Raw genomic sequence first — 21,108 nt, 5'->3', positions numbered from 1 at the left:
TCAAGTAACAGGACAATTTTTTCTACACATCTCTTCTTTTCCATTTCCTTTATCTTTGTTAGCATTTTTTTTTGGCTCCTTCCTTAGCAGAAATGTTATATTTTTGAGGGTACTAGAAAACTTTCGTGATGGGGTTATTTAAGAAAGACAAACTTTAATAGATAAAATGGGAAAATATTTTAATGTATATTTTTTAAAAGAAAAAAAAACTTTTCTTACATTTCCTTCCCCTACTGTAGACTAGAAAAATACTAGGTGGCAAATTAATAATCGCCTATGCAGTTAAGCAGCACAAAACTGAAAATACTTAGCCAGAGTAATCAAGCACTTTTTTTGGACTAAATGCAAGTCAAAGGCCATCCTCCACTCTTCTACCCAGAGAGCATATACCCTTGGCAGTCTCACTAACCTGGGGGTGACAAAACGAGTATTTTGAAATCAACATCCAATTTAGTGCTTTCGTGGTTCTTCAGGTTGCTTATTCATAAGTGAAAACATTTTGTATGTGTATTTTTATGCGTGTTTGTAGGATGGAAAAGAAGCTTGCTCTGATATAATTGGTTTTAGTTAATTAAGTAAGAATCTCTGACTTACAGCTATTTTTTTTCCAGAAAAACTTACGGTGAATAGGAAAATATTTGTTATAAAGCAAAACAGAATAGCAGGATTAGCCTTTCAACTTTTTGTCTGCAGGTTTTCAGAAAATTTTCATCTCTTTTGAAGATAATACCCTAATTTTATACAGTTTTATCTATCAATTTAAAATTTAAATTAAGTGAATAAAGACCATACCTAATGTATATACATATATACAGGCATTTTTGAAAATCTGTACCATAGGCAGAATTTATATTTTTTGTGATCAAGAGGCTCTCTTCTAATTTCTTCCAAGAAATTTTACATGTTCAGAAAACTGCAAAATTTCTAATATGTTAGTAATTCTGGATATTCACACAGCATTGAAAAAAATAGGTGTCTTCATCCATCTGGATTTTCATAAGAGTTCAACATATCTATTGCAAACATATCTCAACTACTGTAATTCTCAAGGAAGAAAACCTGAAGATGAAAAGAATTGGGATTTGACTCATGAAAAGAGAATTCACCACTCTTCTTGTAATTTCTTGAAACTGTGTTCAGAATTTCACAACCCTTGCTAAACCATAAACAAAGGGTCACATGCAGTAAAACAGCAGAAACCCAGTAAGAATGTGCCAGAGTTCAGAGAACAATTACCCCAGGCTTAACTTCACTGACCTTTAATCTGTTTGGGTCATCAGTGCTCTTCTATATAAAGCATCTCACAACGTGCTGGGGCTCAGGCCTGGCAGAGCTCTGCAAGCTGGAGTCTTAGCAGCAGAAGTCAAACTGGGGTAAATTTGTCCAAAGACATATAAAACAGTTTTCTCTGACATGGTGCATCTGAAACACATAGGTGTCAAACAGTGAATTTGGATGTAATCTCTGGAGCCAGGGCAGGACTTTTCTTTCAGTTTGACAGACTCTCACTCTGTTGCCCAGGCTGGAGTGCAGTGGTACAATCTTGGCTCACTGCAGCCTCTACCTCCCAGGTTCAAGCGATTCCTGGGCCTTGGCCTCACGAGTAGCTGAGATTACAGGCACACATCACCATGCCCCACTAATTTTTTTGTATTTTTAGTAGAAATGGGGTTTTGTTATATGGGCTAGGCTGGTCTCAAACTCCTGGCCTCAAGTGATCCGCCTGCCTCAGCCCCCCTAAGTGTTGGGATTACAGGCGTGAATCACCTGGCCAGCAGGGCAGGACTTTCCTAAGGCTTCTCTGAACTCGTACTTGTAAATCCTCTACCCTACAAGACTTTCTGCAACCCTAACACTAACATCTTAAGGGTGAAGTAAAAAAATAATAATAAATAAATAAATAATAAAAAATAAAAAAATAATAAAAAAAAGAGTGAAGTGTGGTCCAGGAATAGAAACAGCATTGATCAGGAAGTACGGAGACCCCAATTCCTGTTATTGATGTGTAATTTATTAGCCACATGGCTTTCAGAAATGAAATTTGGAAATCATTTATTAAAGCCCTAGACCATGGGCTAGCAACAGTGGAGGCCAATTGCTGACTTCAAGAAGCTCGTAATTTAATGTAGAATGTAAATTAGCACAGATTATTATGATACAATTTAAGAAGTATTATGCAATCATTTGGAAAAATTCTAAGGAGACAGAAAGAAAGGAATTACCAATTCTCTTTGTGGGTGTGGAAGCAGAAATGTCTACATAGGCTTCAGGTGGGACCTGAAAAGATAATTGGCAAGGAATTTCGTATGGTAAAAAATACATGGAATAGGATAAAGGACAATTTTGTTAAAGTATCAATTGAGGCAAACTGTAAACGGCTTTGAATATCTTTCTGAGGAATGTGGACAACTTATGCTATTTAAGACTAAATTTCCTCATCTTTAAATAAAGGAATTGGACTGGATGACTTCTGAGTTCATGACCAGGTCTAAAAGTCTAAATAAGGTTACATTCAAAGTTCAAGAGGAAATATAGAAGTTGGCCAAATGCTATCAATTCCTGTAAAGATAATGCCAAGTCAGTGGTTATTATTCGAATTAAACTCCCCTGCATCATCAAAAAAGTACTTAACTAAAAATAAAAAATAAGATTTTTTTTTTTTTTTTTTTTTTTTTGAGATGGAGTCTTGCTCTGTCACTCAGGCTGCAGTGCAGTGGCGCGATCCCGGCTCACTGCAACCTCCGCCTCCTGAGTTCATGCCATTCTCCTGCCTCTGCCTCCTGAGTAGCTGGGACTACAGGTGCCCGCCACTATGCCTGGCTAATTTTTTTGAATTTTTTTTTTAGTAGAGACGGGGTTTCACCATGTTAGCCAAGATGGTCTCGATCTCCTGACCTCATGATCTGCCCACCTTAGCCTCCCAAAGTGCTGGGATTACAGGTGTGAGCCACCATGCTGAGCCAAAAATAAGATTTTTGAAAATGAATCAGTACAACTTTGTGTTAGAGATGCCAAAAAATATACTTTCCAGGACTTCAAGTTGAATTACTTCAAATGTTGTTCTACAGTGATTGTGCAATGGAATGAACTGGGTCCTTGCAAAATTCATATATTGAAGCCCTAACCCCAGATGTAATTGTTTTTGCTGTAAGGAAGTAATTCATATTAAATGAGCTGAGAAGGTGGGGTCCTGATCTGATAGGATTCTTGTCCTTATAAGAAGAGCCACCAGAGAGGGGCCACCTGCAAGCCAGGAGGAGAACCCTCACGAGAAGCAGAACCCTGCCAGACCTTGATCTGAAACTTCCAGTTTCCAGAACTGTGAGAAATAAATTTCTGTTGTTTTAGTCACGTAGTGCTTGTTATTTTGTCATGGCAGCCTGAGCTGGTGTGAGATTACAGGCGCACATCACCATGCCTGGATAATTTGTTTATATTTTTAGTAGAAATGGGGTTTCGTTATATTGGCTAGGCTGGTCTCAAACTCCTGGCCTCAAGTGAGCCACCTGCCTTAGCCCCCCTAGGTGTTGGGATTACAGGTGTGAATCCCAACTGAGCTGACTAATACAGATAATAAGTTTTAGTTTAAGTAACAAAGTCTATTAAAAATTTGATCGTAATATTTAGACTATTTGAATAATTAATTCTTTATGGTATATATTGTGCTCTAAAAAATGATGTATTTTTTAATTGATAGTGCAGTAAGATGATTATGACTATAACTCTCCCAATAATGTTTCATTATTTCATTAGAAATGAGAACATTCATTGATTTAAACTTTTTTCTTCCTTTTTCTTTTTTTTTTTTTTTTGAGCCAGTGTCTCACTCTGTCATCCAGGCTGGAGTGCAGTGGTATTCTCGGCCCGCTGCAGCCTCAATATCAGTATCCCAGGCTCAAGCAATCCTCCCATCTCAGCTTCCCCAACAGCTGGGATTACAGGCATGTACCACCATGCCCAGCTAATTTTTTTTTTTATTTTTTGTAGAGATGGGGTTTTACCATGTTGCTCAGGCTGGTCTTGAACTCCTGTGCTCAAGCAATCCACCCACTTCGGCCTCCCAAAGTGCTGGGATTACAGATGTGAGCCACCACACCTGACCCGATTTAAAATTTTCATTTTTGCACATAGCTGAACTTTACCAATGAGCTAAGTATTAGTGGCATTCCGAAAAGTGAAATGTGCTAATGAGCTTGATGCGTGAATGCATTTTAACCAAACAAGTTCAGTTATTTTTTTAACTTCTAAAGACATTCTATTTATTTCCATGCCCATACTAAAATATTTTATAATTATTTTGTCATTCACTCTACATAAATCCTCTCAGCACCTAGTCGTTGCCACACACACACTGTTAGGCCCTGGAAATAACTAAGGCGAGGAGGATAGTCTCATTCCCTGCTTTCACCAAGCTCAAAGTCAAGCCTGTAAGACAATAAAACTAGAAGTCACAGACAATAAAGTATATTACAGGCCAAGACAGAAGTACAAATTTCTGCAGGAGTTTTGGCTAGTTAGAAGGCCATGAAAGGCTTCCTAGAAAAAGTCATTTTAGCAAAGCCTGGAAAAAGGTTGGCATATGTAAGATCTTAGCAACTATGTGAAATGAACAAATATTGATCAATAGGAATGAGCCAAGCAAAGACATGGGGCAGGGTAAACACTAGGTTTGAAGGTCTGAAGGGCAAAACCACAGCTGATTACAGAAAAGAAAAAAAAAAAGTTCAGTATGTCTGGATGGCAGAGTCCAAAGGAGTGGAAATGTGAAGAAAGTCAGTGGACCCACAGAAGGAACCCATCAGCCTCTTTCACTTTCAACCATCACTGAATAAATCAAGAACTATGCCATTGACTCATAGTGTGGCACGTTACAAAGTATTTGAGAAAAATCTTTTTTTTTTTTTTTCCAGACGAAGTCTCACTCTTGTCCCCCAGGCTGGAGTGCAGTGGCACAATCTCAGCTCACTGCAACCTCTGCCTCCCGGGTTCAAGCAATTCTCCTGCCTCAGCCTCCCAAATAGCTGGGTTTACAGGCACCTGCCAACAGGCCTGGCTAACTTTTATATTTTAATTAGAGACAGGGTTTCACCATGTTGGCCAGGCTGGTCTTGAATTCCTGACCTCAGGTGAGCCGCCCGTCTCTGCCTCCCAAAGTGCTGGGATTACAGACATGAGCCACCCGCGCCTGGCCTGTTGTTGTTTTAAGAACACAAACAGTGAAGTCTTTTACAGATATTATAGGTTACAAATTTCTTTGATTATAACATTCACTGCCACAGAACTAATCATATTCTATATTCTCTTCAAAACCACACTCATTCCCACTCTAGTCATCATTACTCAATGGGGCAACCAACCAGAACGCCTGGCCTGTTGTTGTTTTAAGAACACAAACAGTGAAGTCTTTTACAGATATTATAGGAATTCAAACACATTTTCTCCTTCTGACTCAGAGGAAATGCCACATATGTAGTTGAGGGAAAAAAAAATCTTTAGATGATCTAAAACTTTTAATCAAAATGTCCACCTCCATTTCCTCTCCCTGGGTGTTCGTCTTGCAAGAAATGGGCAGGGCAGGCCTCACCTGGGTTTAACTTCTCTAACCTGCCTCATTTGCAGACAAGAGGAAAGCCACGTATAGCCACCTTTCAGCCACCTTTCAGGTTAATTATGTTACTAAGAAAAACTAAGGAAGCAGAGTAACATCATCTGGGACTATATATATATGGTATTTTAAAATAAAAAGGGCTAAGATTCATAAAAAATTGATTTATGGTAGGGCTTTGCTTGTTAGTGTTTTACTAAGATGGATTTTTTTTAGTGTATTTCCACATTGTAATTTCAGATTTTGTTTATCCTCTCCACAGAATGAGGTTATTACTTGGGTATTTTAAAATACTCGTGTTCCTGGTAGGTGTGCATTCAGTATTGTAAATGTTTTGATCACTAGTTTAATTTATATTTTCCTTAATCACTGTTCTCACAGTTGCTTAACGATTCTTCCTCTCCAAAAAAACAGTGTATTATGCATATTAACATAATAATGACTGAGTTAATCTATTATTTTTATACCTTAAAAGTAAATTCAGGAGTCTAAGTAGCCCCCTCTGTAGTCCCAGTTACTAAGGAAGCTGAGGTGGGAAGATCACTTGAGCTAGGAATTTGAGGCCAGCCTGGGCAACATAGGGAGGCCCTGTCTCTACAAAAAATAAAAAATGAGTCAGGCATGGTGGTGCATGCCTGTAGTCCCAGCTACTTGCGAGGCCGAGGTGGGAGGACTGCTTGAGCCCAGGAGGTCAAGGCTACAGTAAGCTGTGATCACCCCACTGCAGTCCAGCTGAGTGACAGAGCAAGACCCTGTCTCAAGAGAAAGAAAGACCCCATCTCGTAAAAAAATACAAAATAAAATAATACATTTAAATTTAAAAAATAAAAGCAAATGCACTTATGAAGCTGAATGGATCAAAGGCTCTCCCTTTACTTCCTGTTGCTTTTGCTGACTTTCTATGCATGTGCATGTGACGGTGAGGCCGAGAGGGCCGTGCGTGTGTTCGGAACAAGCGCATCCACGTGCACCATGTGGCTGCCAACAAGGATCACAATGACTGATGCTTTCATTGAACAGTGTCTTGTAAACAGTTGTCTTAACTCAGAAGCTACCCCCAAAAGCTACATTTTAAAAATAAATGAATGTAAACAAGACATAAATGTTATTTTAAATAGAGACATATGGCTGGGCACCGTGGCTCATGCCTGTAATCCCAGCACTTTGGGAGGCCAAGGCGGGCAGATCACCTGAGGTCAGCAGTTCGAGACCAGCCTGGCCAACATGGTGAAACACCGTCTCTATGTTACTGCATTAATGGATATGTTATTATATTCATGACAATTAATTTCATTTAAAAAAATCAAATTGTTGTGATAGAAACCATTGAAATTGGTTTCCTTTGGAATTTCTTTTGAGAAGTGTGTCAGAACATAGACATCCAGGGAATTATTATTTTTCTTAATCAGGACTTGGCAGACTTTTTCTATAAAGGATCAGATAGTGAATATTTTAAGTCTGTGGGCTCTCCAGTCTCTGTCCCACGTATTCAATTCTGCTGTTGTAGTGCAGACGTCACATAAACAATACATAAACAAACCAATGTACATGGATGTGTTCCAGTGGACACTATGTGTTCTTGTGGACACTATGATTTCTATTTTCTGTGATTTTTATGGGTCACAATATATTCTGTCACTTTTTTTTTCCAAACATCCAAAAAATGTAGTTCACAAGATATATCAAAACTGGGGAAATGGCAGATTTGGCTGAAGGCATATTTGCAATCCTTTTCTAAGTAATTATATAGGAAAACTAACATTGCAATGACAGTGTAGCATATCACCAGTGTGAAGTCCATGAACTTCGGACTGAATCCCAACTGTTTCCTAGTTTGTGACATTAGTTACTTAAATTCTTTGTGCTTCAGTGTCTTCATCTATAACATGAGGATAATAATCCTTTTCCCCTTGGTCTATTGTAGGGATAAATGAATCAATTCATATAAAGCACTTAGGACTGTGCTTGTATAGAACAGATACTATACACATGTTTGCTGAATAAATAGCCTCGTTATTTGAAAATATTTAGAAAGAATTTTGAAGCCAATTTACAAACCATGGAAGAAAACCTTATTACATGAGAGTCCTCTACCTTATTCATGAAAACTGTCCCTAAATTAGGCTATTTCAAAAATCCAAATCAAAACCAAGCATCTGTATCAAAAGTCTACTTCAGAAAGTCTACTTCATGAATTTCATCAGAGATTTGAGTGTTTAAAAATATAAATATATTCAAAAGGACAAATATTTCAAAACAAGATCTCAAAAGAATGAGTATTATACTTGAAAACAATTTTCAAGAGCGGCTTCTATGCAAGGTGTGAGCAATAGAATCACTAAAGGCTACCACCTTCCAAGCTGACTATTCTAATATGAACAATTTCCATTTAGAAACAAACCTTCTGGTGTTTCTCTTTATATTTATTTATTTATTTATTTTTTAAGATCGAGTCTTGCTCCATGGCCCAGGCTGGAGTGCAGTGGTGCCATCTAGGCTCACTGCAACCTCCGCCTCCCTGGTTCAAGCGATTTTCCTGCCTCAACCACCCAAGTACCTGTCATTACAGGTGGCCACCACCACGCCCGGCTAATTTTTGTATTTTTAGTAGAGACAGGATTTGGCCATGTTGGCCTGGCTGGTTTCAAACTCCTGACCTCAAGCGATCCACCTGCCTCGGCTTTCCAAAGTGCTGAGATTACAGACGTGAGCCACCACGCCTGGCCTGGTGTTTTTCTTTATACTTAGCACTTCATACTTTCACATAAGGAGCTTATAGTCTTGGAAAAGAGATAGAGCAAATACACAAGAAAAACTTCAACCACATGCAGTAAATGACAAAGAACAAAAAAAAAAATGATAAACCTGAGGTGTTATGGAAGAACGCTAAATGATATCGAGATAAGGGAGTTATAAAAATCTATCGTTAGGGTATGTTTAAAAGTGGGCCTTAAAAGAAGGAAATATATTTTGTAAGAAGAAGGAATAGCTGTGGCATGTATTATTTTTGTCCTCTAAGCACTTCAGGTAATAGATCCAGCCTCTGGCCACAGAGGCGTCATTTGATCTGGCCAGGATCATCTTAATGTCACTAAAATTCTTCAGACTCATCAAGAAAGACTATTTTAGTTTCTGATCACAGACTAAAGGACTTAATTCCCAATATGTCTCCAGCCATATCCCCCATTGTATGGAAAAGCTGGTCTCAGAGACTGAAGTCGGAGGAAAAAGAGAGAGTCCATATGCAGCTGGATCCAGTCATCCTGTGGCTACATTCACCTCCAAACCCATAATATCTAAAGTGCAACTCACTTTCTTTTTCCTCCTCATGTCTCCCCACAAGATACTTGCCCCTTTTCTAGATTCTCCTTCCTGTTGCCTAATCTAGCAATTCACTTGGATTGATCACTTATACTAGAATTTGTTCAGCTTTCGTTTACCCTCCTTACCTCACCCAACACCATCAGCAACAAATCCTTTCGTGTTAGGGACTTTCCTTATATACCTGGTGAGCTCTGGCTATATGTTTCTATGTAAAGATAAGTCACTGAAAATTGACTAATGCTTGTGTTGAAGTGGGGCTGGAAGGGAACACTCTAAAACGTGTTTCCTGGTGGCTGGTGATCTGGTTGAGACCCAGCTCTGTTTGAGAAGTTTCTCAAATGCTCTGTGAAAGAGCAAGTGAAAGGTTTGTGTTACTTCTGTGTCTTCCTGTTACCTTTGCTTCCATTTTTTACTTTATGTATTCCGTTTTTTTCTTTCTTTCTTCCATTTTCGCTATAATGTGTTTTGAGAGGGCTCTAAGATAGGTGAATCTGCTTATTCTGTGATTTCTAACCAGAAGGACCTAAACACTTTTTACATCTAAAGCCATACCCTCCATTCCTATTAACATATAACGATGGTCTTCAAAAGGTCTTCATCATCTTTCCTAGGGACTCGTGCAACAACCTTCTTAATGGTATTGCACTGATATTTCCCCCATTGCACCTCATCCTGCCCTCAGCTCTGCCCAACATCCTTGGGTCCACAACCTATCTGATTAGTGTCTCCAGAGAGTAAACTTCCTGTCTCCTGTTGAATTGGCGGACAGGAAATCGACTGTGCAGCCTGGGGTTGGAGATCTACGAATCTTAGTGCTACATATAAAGTCACTTCTCTTTTCATCTCCCTATGCCTGTCACCACCTTCCAGAGCGGCTGCTGCCTCCAATTTCTGAGCACTTTCCGTTTTCCAGCTCAAAGAATATGCTTCCCTCTTACTGACTTCCCATCCCCACTGCCCTCCTCAAGAAGGTTGAGAATACAGCTCTCTGCAGCCTTTAGCATAGCTGCCAACAGTCCACCTACTTTCCAGAGAAATAATGCTATTGATATGGTTTGCATTACATCTGTGTCTTCCTGTTACCTTCGCTTCCATTTTTTTCTCATGTATTCATTTTCTTTCTTTCTTCCTTCTTCACTATAATGTGTTTTGAGAGGGCTTTAAGATAGGTGAATCTGCTTCTTCTGTGATTTTCTAACCAGAAGGACCTAAACACTTTACATTTAAAACCATGCCCTCCATTCCTATTAATATTCTAAAGATGGTCGTCAAAAAGTGTTCATCATCTTTCTTATGGACTCTAGCAACAACCTTCTAACTGGTATCCTTTCCAGTTTGTCATCCCTAAATCTACTTCCAACACATTTCCCAAATCATCCATCCAAAATGCAAATCTCTCAATGTCACATGTTTAAATTTCAGTAGGACCCTATCCTCTAAAGAATAATATTTACCTTGTGTGTGGCTCATGGCCCTGAATGAGCTGGCACCGCCTATATCACTAGTTTAGTTTTTTACCGCTTGCCCCATAATATATCTGAAACTCCAGCAACATGGAACTTCTCATGCCCAACCTTCAACCACACACATATTACTCACACGGAAGCCAGGCTGTATCCCACCTCCTGGCACAAATACCCTTTTTCTCTCCCTCCACATATACACAAGATGATAAAATCCCCTGCAAGTGGTATCTGGTATCTTCTCCAGGAAGTTTGTTTGTTTATTTGTTTGTTTGTTTGTTTTTGAGATGGAGTCTTGCTCTGTCGCCCAGGCTGGAGTGCAGTGGCGTGATCTCGGCTGACTGCAAGCTATGTCTCCCGGGTTCACGCCATTCTCCTGCCTCCACCTCCCAAGTAGCTGGGACTACAGGTGCCTGCCACCATGCCCGGCTAATTTTTTATATTTTTAGTAGAGATGGGGTTTCACTGTGTTAGCCAGGATGGTCTCGATATCCTGACCTTGTGATCCACCTGCCTTGGACTCACAAAGCCAGGAAGCATGTTTTAATGCCCTTTCCCTGGAAGATTAAGGGCCTCTACTCTGTATTCTTATAAAAAGCACCTTACCTATACTTACTTCATATGTTGAAATGAGTTATTCATGCTTCTGTGCCCATATAGGAGAGAGACTGTGACCTGTCCATCTTTCCCAATTTGTTTATGGCCCAGGCATCCTGGAAGTGACCAGAAAAAAACTACAGCCACTTTTCTTTATCTTTCAACTCCATCTTCTGGTGCCTAGGACTATCCTCTAACCCTCAAACTAATTCAAGTCTTAAATATACACAGGAAGAATGATCATTATATGGAATGGGCTGTATGTGGCAGAGGAGAGGTTAAATTCCCAAGCCTGCCCCTCTCTCATGCCCCATCCCCGACACCACTACTCAAGGAGTGTCCAGCCCTGCTGCTCCCGTCCTCCAGCACCTGCACATCCTTGAGCTCTAGCGATGATATGTTTAGGGCTCTCTGTGTCAGGTGGCCCTCAGAAATGTAGATAAAACTTTATTCATCACCATTATTACTGAATGTGGTTTTGTTTTTCAAAAAGCAAGATAGAGATATGGACTAGAAAGATTGATTTCATAGCCACATACTTGTTTCTCTCTGTTTTCCAAAATGATTAGAAAATACCCAAAACAGTATACATTAGTCCCCCATTTTCCAAAGGGGAACATATTCCGTGACCCACAGTGGGTGCCTGAAACTACGGATAGTACCAAACCCTGTGTATACTATGTTTCCTCCTATACATACATCATATGATAAAGTTTAGTTTATAATTAGGCACAGCAAGAGATTAACAATAGTAACTAATAATAAAACAATTATAACAAGATGCTGTAATAAAAGTTATAGGAATGTGGACTCTCTCTCAGAATATCTTGACTGTACTCACTATTTTCAGACCACGGTTGACCACAGGTAACTGAAACCGGAGAAAGTGAAACCATGGATAAATGGGGACTGCTGTTGTCTGGGTTTTCATATATATCCTCCTGTTTTGGATCCAAGAGGAGATAGAACCTTGTCAGAAATATCTGCTACAGTGGGAAAAGGGAAGCAAGAGAGCCAATAACAGGGGCTTGAAATAAAAAGGAGACTGACAAAGGGGGGTTTTCATTGGCAAGCCCACTCCAGCCCTCTGTCACTTTCTCTGGACACATCCCCGGCCTGGACAATGAGATGTGTTCCTTTACATTCGAGGAACTATGCTTGCTTTGCCATCAAGTTCTTGTGGCACCTGCCGCTCAAGTTACAAAGAACTAGAACAATTAAACTTTACATATGTGATGGTTTAAAATAGACTTTGTGAACAGACTTGGCAATCTAGCTACCATGGTAGTTTTTGCCGTCTGTGAGAAAATGATTTCAGAGTTCCAAAGAGCAGATTTGAAAGTGAACATTCGGACGACAACTTGTTTGCAAATTCAGACTAGCCTACGTTTCGTTCCTGGTGCTAACTGGAAAATATTAGACTACAATTATGAACAAATGTTTTTCCCTCCAAATTAGCAGACTTGAAATATGGTTAATAACCTTAGCTGAATGGAGAAAGCCTCTTCTGACACGACTGTGAATCCCTTTACATCAAAAAATTGTGTATACTCAAACTTTAACCAAGTTGTAGAGACAGGTGACATAATATTAACCAAGGTTAAGGCTATCTAATCCCAAAGTGCAAAACTCAAGTAAGTAATAATTTCTGAAGAGCTTTTCTCATATCTGAAATTCTTATAAAGTCATTTCCTAATGTATTGACAAGTATCTAGCTTATGAAACCTGAAACGACAAATGCACAGTGCAAAACTTACAAATCACAAAGTAGCTTACAAAACTTCCAGTAACAAAGTTTTCTAATTTTTCTATGAACAATGCCTTAAACACAACTACCAAAGGTTTATGAGCCTCCCTAAGATAAAATAAAAACTACCTTTTTTATGCTTAATTGTTCTTGCATTCAAAAGCGTGAATGGCCAGATGCAGCGGCTGATGCCTGTAATCTCAGCACTTTCAGAGGCCACAGAGAGTGGATCACTTCAGGTCAGGAGTTTGAGACCAGCCTGGCCAACATGGTGAAACCCCATCTCTACCAAAAACATAAAAAATGAGCCAGGCGTGGTGGCAGGTGCCTGTAATCCCAGCTACTCGGGAGGCTGAGGCAGGAGGACCGCTTGAAGCCGGGAGGCAGACAGAGGTTGCAGTGAACTGAGATGGTACCACTGCACTCCAATCTGGGTGATACAGCAAGACTCCATCTCCAAAAAAAAAAAAAAAAAAAAAAAGTGTGAGTGAAAAATTTCAGATAATCGTCGATTAACCACATATGCTCAGTATCTCTTCCAAGAGATCCCTGGGACTCCCTCAGCCCCAAATGAACTGGCTCCTGGCTCCTTCCCTCCCTCATTGCCACTCCCAGGTAACCTTTATCTATTGATTCAAGGAGAATCATTTTCTTTACGCTCACTGCAATGGTGACTCTCTGTTTTCACTATAGGGGAATTGAATCGACTCTCTTCTTCATTCTCAAGTTGCTTGTTATTACAATAACTCCTGACATTTTAGGTGGAATACATGACAGTTGGGGAAGGAGAAACAGTTTTACAAGTCCCATCCCTAAAGCTTCCTCTATATTCCTCATATAGAATTCAATTCTATATGAATTTCTTCCACCAGCCAACCATATCACACGTGGACAAATGAGTCTCCACCCAAAGTATTACAATCCTCGTCTGCAAAATAAGTATGTGTGTGGCGGGGCCAGGGAAGGGACTCACCCTAAAATTCATTTTCTACTTCACTATCCTGGAATTATATGATTCTATGCACCTCTTCAGTCTTCCAGAATAACTTGTTTTTATCGTTCCCCTTTATCCCCTCATTATCCAATTTGATTAAATAATCAAACAATTAGAAGTTGACTAAACTTATTAGGTTAAAAGTGTGCACACAATTAGTTTTTGTTTTCCTTTCACACTACATGCAAATTATACTTAATTACAAAGTGAAACCCACTGTCGTTATTGCTCTCTTTCCTTTCATTCTGAGCCACAAGGAAAAAAATCTAAATATTGTTACACACACGTGCTTTCCTAATCGTTCAGTCTATCTTGTGTTATAATCACTGTCATCATCATAATAGTGATAGAGACCTCGTGGCTAGCCTTATGCACCACTTCATCAGTAACCATTCCTACCAGCCTTTTTAGAGAACTCATTTGCGGGTGCTGCTTTGTGGCAAAACACCAAAAGCCACTTGTCACTCCGTACTCTGTATTCTACTTATTTAGTAGAACTTTCCCTGTAGATTGAAAGTATTTTGTTTTGTTTTGTTTTTTTGAGATGGAGTTTCACTCTTGTTGCCCAGGCTAGAGTGCAACGGCGTGATCTCGGCTCACTGCAACCTCCACCTCCCGGGTTCAAGCTATTCTCCTGCCTCAGCCTCCCAAGTAGCTGGGATTACAGGCATGTGCCACCATGCCCGGCTAATTTTGTATTTTTAGTAGGGACAAAGTTTCACCATGTTGGTCAGGCTGGTCTCAAACTCCTGATCTTAGGTGATCCCTCTGCCTCAGCCTCCCAAAGTGCTGGGATTACAGGTATGAACCACCACGGCCAGGCTGATTGAAAGTATTTTAAAGGTAGGAACTATAGCTAATTCATCTTTGTACTTTCTTCAGCTCAAGATACAGAATTTTGGTGTAAGTACTGAATATGTATTGAATGAAAGAAAAAGGAGCAAATAAATGAATAGTTTGTAGGACAGTAACATAGGTTCAGAGAATATCAAGTCAGAAGAAATCCCAAGATTCTGAGAAATCTTTGCCAGTTTCTCAGAGCAAATGATACTAATCTAGTATCTTGATGGCTTGGACCACTGATGCCTTGATTCTGGAAACTTAAGCAACTAAGTATTTCAAATTTGGGTCCCTAAAGATGTAAAAATGATAAGAAATGTTAGATTCACCTACTGTAGCCTTATTTTCAGACCAATGGCCAGAAAAGGTGCCAACTGTGAAAAATCAGGATCACATTTCCATCAATTGAACCAAAGGCCTTAAAACTATGTTTAGGCTTTTAGAGTGCTGACTTTAACCAAGAGGCGATCCAGTGTAGGAAAAGAGGACAGGCTTTGGAATAAAATATGACTTAAATCCACATTCCTCCATTTACTCACAGCTTGACTTTGGCAGGTCACTTAATATCCTAGACCCTCTTTTTCTTATGGACAAAATGGGGATAACAACAATATCTGCTGTACAAACATGTTTAAAAATCATATAAGATTATATAACCAAATTACCTAGCATAGTACATTCTTGTGCAGAGTAGACAATCAATACATTTCTTCCCCATCTTGTAACTTTTATTTCAGCACATTAGCTCCCAGTGTAAAGAGACATGTAATTTTAAAGCTTTTTTCCATTCAGTTATCATAACTGATTGAGGACACCACACTGCACAATCTCAGGAGTTATGCAGAATGACAGCCCCTGTACATGCTGTTCCTGTCTCAGGACTATGAGCCATCACTTTCTGCTCAGAATAATTACTTGGTGTATCTACACTTAAGGCTGCAAACAACATGAACTAACTGGAGGAAGCCGGGTATTCATGGATGACCCAATCTCTGACTCAAACAAATCAAATCACTGAAGAATCATAAATTCACCTTTCTTTGTAGCTTCCAAGCCAAAGAAATTATAGAAGTCACAAGTGCGCCTGTTTCACAAAAATATCAGCAGTATATAGCAAATAAGTATCTCTGCTTTTCAATAAGTAAAGGGTGGAGATGATTAACGTTAACGGGAAAATTAAATTACTCTCAAGCAGTCAGAAATTACTGTTTGGTTCACCAAGTCACACAAAAGACAGTCTGAAGTCAAACAACTGCAGCTAATTCGTCTTGTCATTGATGTATGTTGTATTAGGATTCTCCAGAGAAACAAAACAAATGGATATGTTGGACGCAAAGAGAGAGAGAGAGAGAGAGAGAAGCACAACTGATGGATATGTTGGAGGCAAAGCGAGAGAGAGAGAAACAGAACCGATGGATATGTTGGAGGCAAACAGAGAGACAGGAAGAGAGAGATTTTAATTTGGCTTACATAATTGTGGGGCTGGCAAGTCCAAAATCCATAAAGCAAGCAGTCAGCCTGGAAGTTCTGCTAAGAGTTGATCTTGCAGTCTTTAGTCCCAATTCCTTGAATTTCCAAGCAGGATTTCTATGTTGCGGTCTTAGGGCAGAATTCCTTCCTCTTCAGGAAACCTCAGTCTTTCCTCTTAAGGCCTTCAACTGATTGGATGAGTTTCACCTGCATTACAAAGCCTACTCTGCCTTACACAGAACCTACTGATTCAAATACTAATCACATCTGAAAAATACTTTCACAGCAATATCTAGACTGGTCAAACAACTGTGCACCATAGCCTTGCCAAGTTGACACATAAAATTAACCATCATATATCTCTTGCTTGTCCAAATGGTTTGCTTTTCTTGCTATTCTAATCATATAGATAATTTTTTCAGAGCTTTCTCCAAATTTTCTGCATGTTTGAAACACTTTTTCCTGAAATAGGAGGTGACTGTTTTTCAGTGTAAGCATTGAATAGTTTGTAAATAAAGTAGTTCCTATTACCTGTCATGTAGTTCATATTTATTACACAGAGGAAAATGTAGAACTTTAATTTCATGATACCTCATTGGTCATGGTTAGATTCTTCAAGATCAGAAATAGTTTTTGTTTTGGAATTCACAGAATGAATGCATATAAACTCTTTTAATTCACACTGGCCAAATGTATCCTCTCGATCTGATGCATTTTCATTTAAAGAGCATCTTTATTACTAAAATAAATACCACTTAGCTTGTAGAATAGAAAGCAGTTTAGGCATTTTATTATTTTTACTTACTGAAAGACTCTTCAGCTGATTTGCCTTATTTCATGTTCACCGGTGATTAGAGAATCTGATGGATGACATTTTATCGCCTACACTTTGGCCACAGATGTAATCAATCTGCTCTTGGCTAGCCTTGATGGGGCCTGTCCTTCCCTGGGGCACCAATCTAAGAGCTGCACAATGTTTAAAAAGCACCTTGCATCTCAGTAGCTGCATACCAGGAGGATGAACCTGCCTGTTTTGCCTACCAGAGTCACAACCTGGCCACTTTGCTTTCAAGGCTTTCTGCGACGTGTCCTTACAACATTCTAACTGCTGGGACATCCTCTGAAGCCCAGCAGCGATTCTCCCATCTGGGCCACCTGGGAATTCTCAAAGGCACCCTATCTCAAAACGGACTCCAGCAGCAGCAGCGTATTCGAGGAACTGTCAGAAATTAAAAATTCCCAGGCCCTGCCCCAAACCTAGTGAATCAGAAACCATGTGTGGGGGCCAGTAACTTGCATTTTAACAGGCCCTCCTTGTGATTCTGACGCACGCTGGAGTTCAAGAACTGCTCGAAGCTGAAGGCATAGCACATGTCCGTTCCCAAAGCTCCAAGTGACACTCATAGCTGCATTCCTGCATCATGATTTTCATTTCTAGACTAGACAATTCCCAGTGGTTCTTTTATATATGGTAGGATCATCAAGCTTTGCAGTTTCGTGAGGTCTTTCTTTTCTCTTCTTTTTGTCTTTGTTATGCATTTGTTATTGGTGTTTTTTGCTCAGTGTTGTGGTTATAAGCTAAAGAAATTAGTTCAATGTGAAAAACAGTACTTTTGCTGAAAACTGATCCTCAGCACATTATTTTAAATCCTTCCTTCAAATCCTACTGAACACACGTTTCTCCCCACCATGAGTCTCAATATTGACCCTGAATATCCCCATAGCTCGATGTGAATATGCCTTTGTCAGCACCATGACATGGGTGCCAGCCGAGTTAGACGCTGGTAAAACTACCCTAAGAAATAGGAATAATTCCCTTGCAATTGGGCGCAGCCATAGAGGATGGCTGAACTTTCCAAGAATTATATATCTGTTAGATTTTTAAGTTCTTCCAAAGCCAGGGCATATATTTTACTCTTTTGTGAAAATTTGTTGGATGAATTAGGGAATTTATGGCATAGGCCAGATTGTTACTGAGTTTGGGAGAGCTTTGAAACCTGTGAAGTTTATAACAACAATAAAACAATAGCCACTACACATGTTAACGTTTTGAAGAATCAGCTAGTCAAACATCCTTGTTTAGGGGAAAGGAAATTAGGAGCAGAAATTTACATCCATTAGGCCTGTGAAAGAAAAATAGTTTGTTTTTGTTTTTTTAAGTAGCAACAAAAAGTAAGCAAGACCATATGCAAGAGAAAAGTCAGCATTAAAAAATTAAAGATGAGGCCAGGTGCAGTGGCTCACGCCTGTAATCCCAGCACTTTGGGAGGCTGAAGCAGGTGGATCACTTGAGGTCAGGAGTTCAAGACCAGCCTGGCCAACATGGTGAAACCCCATCTCTACTAAAAATACAAAACTTAGTGGGGCATGGTGGCAGGCACCTGTAATCCCAGCAACTCAGGAGGCTCAGGCAGGAGAATTGCTTGAATCCGGGAGGCAGAGGTTGCATTGAGCCAAGATGGTTCCCCTGCACTCCAGCCTGGGCAACAGAGTGAGATTCCATCTCAAAAAAAATAAAAATAAAAAATGAAACCAAGCCTCAAATAGTGCCTGCAATGCCCTTCACCCAGATATGAGAGTGGCTTTCTCCTGGACTTCATTCCGGCCTCCTCCCCAGGACCTCCTTCCCTGATCTCCTGTCTGAAGCCCTAACGCCCAAGCCCACCCCACTCAGAATGCTCCACTCCACTTCTGCTTCATATCCCTTCCTCACTTTTACTGCTACCTGATTTTCTACTTCAGTCAGTTGCTTATTTGCCTGTCTCCCGAGGATTATGGCAGGAATTTTATGTTTTATTTATTGCTGGATTTTCCCTGCTTTTAGCACATAGCGGACATTCAATCAATATTTGCTAAGTGAGTGGATGAAAGAAAGAAGAAAGAAATGAATACAAGTCCTTGAGCCATGAGTGAAAAACTTTGTAAACTATCTAATTGCTATAGGCTTTCTATACAAGTAATTTTAATTTGGAGAGAATCACAATCTCTTTGTGTATTTTATGAAAGCTAGGGATTATTTTCTTAACAAAAAAATACATATGCACAAATAAACTTGGCATGCAATTTTAGAGGTTCTGATTGTTAAGCAAATTTTCTGAAGATGAAAGCCACCTACTCTCCTTATTTCAAAACAGGCGACATAATGACAGGGCATCTCTGCCCTGTGTCCTACCAGAGACCAAATGTGATTTTAAAACAGCACACAAGTATCAACAAAATATCTAAAATACTCACCTGTAATCTGTTGCCTGGTGTGATGATTCCTAGAGATGTAGTCTCTAAAAGGAAAATATGGTAACTTAAAGCTAGATAATTGAAAGATGATGCTGTATTTATTGAGCACTTGCTATTTGCCTGGCACCCTGCTAATTGCTTCACAAGCCTCCTCTTGTTATTACAAATACCCTAGAAGGTTGTCGCTGGCAGCCAGAAAAATCACATATTGTGCCTTGTCCTCCGTGAGTTGGAAGCCAATTATTCTATCACTTGCATAGTTGTTTTTAACTTTGAAATTTTTTCTTACGTGCATCATTTCAATGTCTTTTAATCTCATGGCAACTGATGACAAAAGTAGTTTGGTTTGCATAATTCCTATTTGACAAGGAAGGGAATGATTCAGTTAATTAATTCATTACCAATCATTCTGCAAACATTTACTGAGCCCGTATTCATAGAAATTACCTTTCCTTATTACCAGATATACGCATTGTTACATATGAAGTGCTTCTGGTATAAAAATTCAAATCAGTATGTGTGTTTTATTTAATTGCTTGGTTAACCTACACATATTTTGTGTGCAAAATAATTAAAGGGTACAAAAGTAAAATTATCGATGTTTCTGACAATTACTGATTTCTGTGAAATTCTTTGATTTCCACCTGCAAAAGACAAAGGCTATTTATTGTTACTCAATTATTTCAATAATTGAGTAAGCTGAAGATTCCATGTCGCTAGTTGGGCAGGTAGCTCACCTCCTGTGATCTGGGTGTGGAACCACTGGTTTTTGGGATGAGGTGAGCCCTTCAAGACCATCTGGCTTATCTTCACGTACAGATGAGGTGTGGGGACATGGGAAATAGACTTCTCAGAACTGAACTTCTCAGAGTCAGGGATCAGAGCTTGTTCATCTTTGTGTCTTCACAAAAAGAGTCATTGGTAAAGGATAAATGCTCACTAAATATTTATTTGCTTAATTGGTATCTAAACTTGGTTTTTATAATATGTAATATGTTCCACTACAGTAAGGAGAGTTTCTCTTTTTGTAGCAGTAAATTGCAGAATGATTTATTCTTTTCTAATAAAAATCAAGCAAGGGCCCAATGCAGCAACTCTTAACTTCAGGATTTGAGCTCAGCTAGGGTGCCAGCTACAGCCTCAACCACAATTATTTCCAGTTAAACTAAAATAGTATTTTTTTCGAACCATGGCTTTGTGACTCTAATTTATTTTTAACCACCTGTAACGTAAATTGTCTCACTTGATTTTCCCACAAACCTGTGACTGGTTGAGATTATCATCCCAGTCCCCAAGAGGTGGATTCTAAGGGAAAGAACAACCAAGTGTCCCATCTAAGGTCAAAAGCAAGTGGGGACAAAATTGCAGCCAGTCCAGGTTCTTTCAATTGCACAGAACTATTTGCAAAGCAATGTTATGGCAACTTAGAGGAAAACTCTCCATTTAACTACCATATTAAGTTCCTCTAGCTATACTATCTGGCTAGGAACACTGAAGTATACTACTCAACGTATGATAGGGGATCAGTATTGATAGAAAGAATAAATGAATGAAGTGTAATAAATTGCATATACAATTCCTATATGGGGATTTTTTTCATGGAGTTTATATCACTAGCAGTACAAAGAGTGGAACTACTCACTTCTTTACACTCTTGTTTAATTCAATTATTTAGTTAATATGGTATTATACTTTTCTTTGTTGCTCAGAATCTATCCCTGTTAAACAACAGTAATGGTACATTTTCCAGCTTTATTGTACCAAAACGGATGGGAAAGATGCTCTGTAGGTAAAATTACATATGTACATATTCTTACATATACATTATCTTGGA

The 21,108-nt window shown here is 39.3% G+C and overlaps 1 protein-coding gene, 1 long non-coding RNA gene and 1 pseudogene across 7 annotated transcripts in view; 2 read left to right on the top strand and 1 right to left on the bottom strand.

Moving 5' to 3' along the window:
• Positions 1-21,108, top strand: part of DLC1 (DLC1 Rho GTPase activating protein) — a 521,260-nt gene that overhangs the window by 245,856 nt on the left and 254,296 nt on the right. The gene's annotated exons all lie outside the window — the stretch shown is intronic.
• LOC101930149 (uncharacterized) lies at positions 1,280-20,427 on the bottom strand. Its single transcript, XR_007060830.1, has 4 exons — positions 20,012-20,427; positions 19,275-19,318; positions 2,223-2,277; positions 1,280-1,422 (listed from the first exon to the last, which is right to left on the bottom strand). It is a non-coding gene; the product is annotated as an uncharacterized LOC101930149 (long non-coding RNA).
• MTND4P7 (MT-ND4 pseudogene 7) lies at positions 5,157-5,368 on the top strand (annotated as a pseudogene).

This window comes from Homo sapiens, chromosome 8 (assembly GCF_000001405.40).
Source record: "Homo sapiens chromosome 8, GRCh38.p14 Primary Assembly".
Classification (NCBI taxonomy): Eukaryota; Metazoa; Chordata; class Mammalia; order Primates; family Hominidae; genus Homo; species Homo sapiens.
The sequence above is the reverse complement of the archived record's forward strand: the minus strand, read 5'-3'. Positions and strand labels throughout refer to the sequence as shown.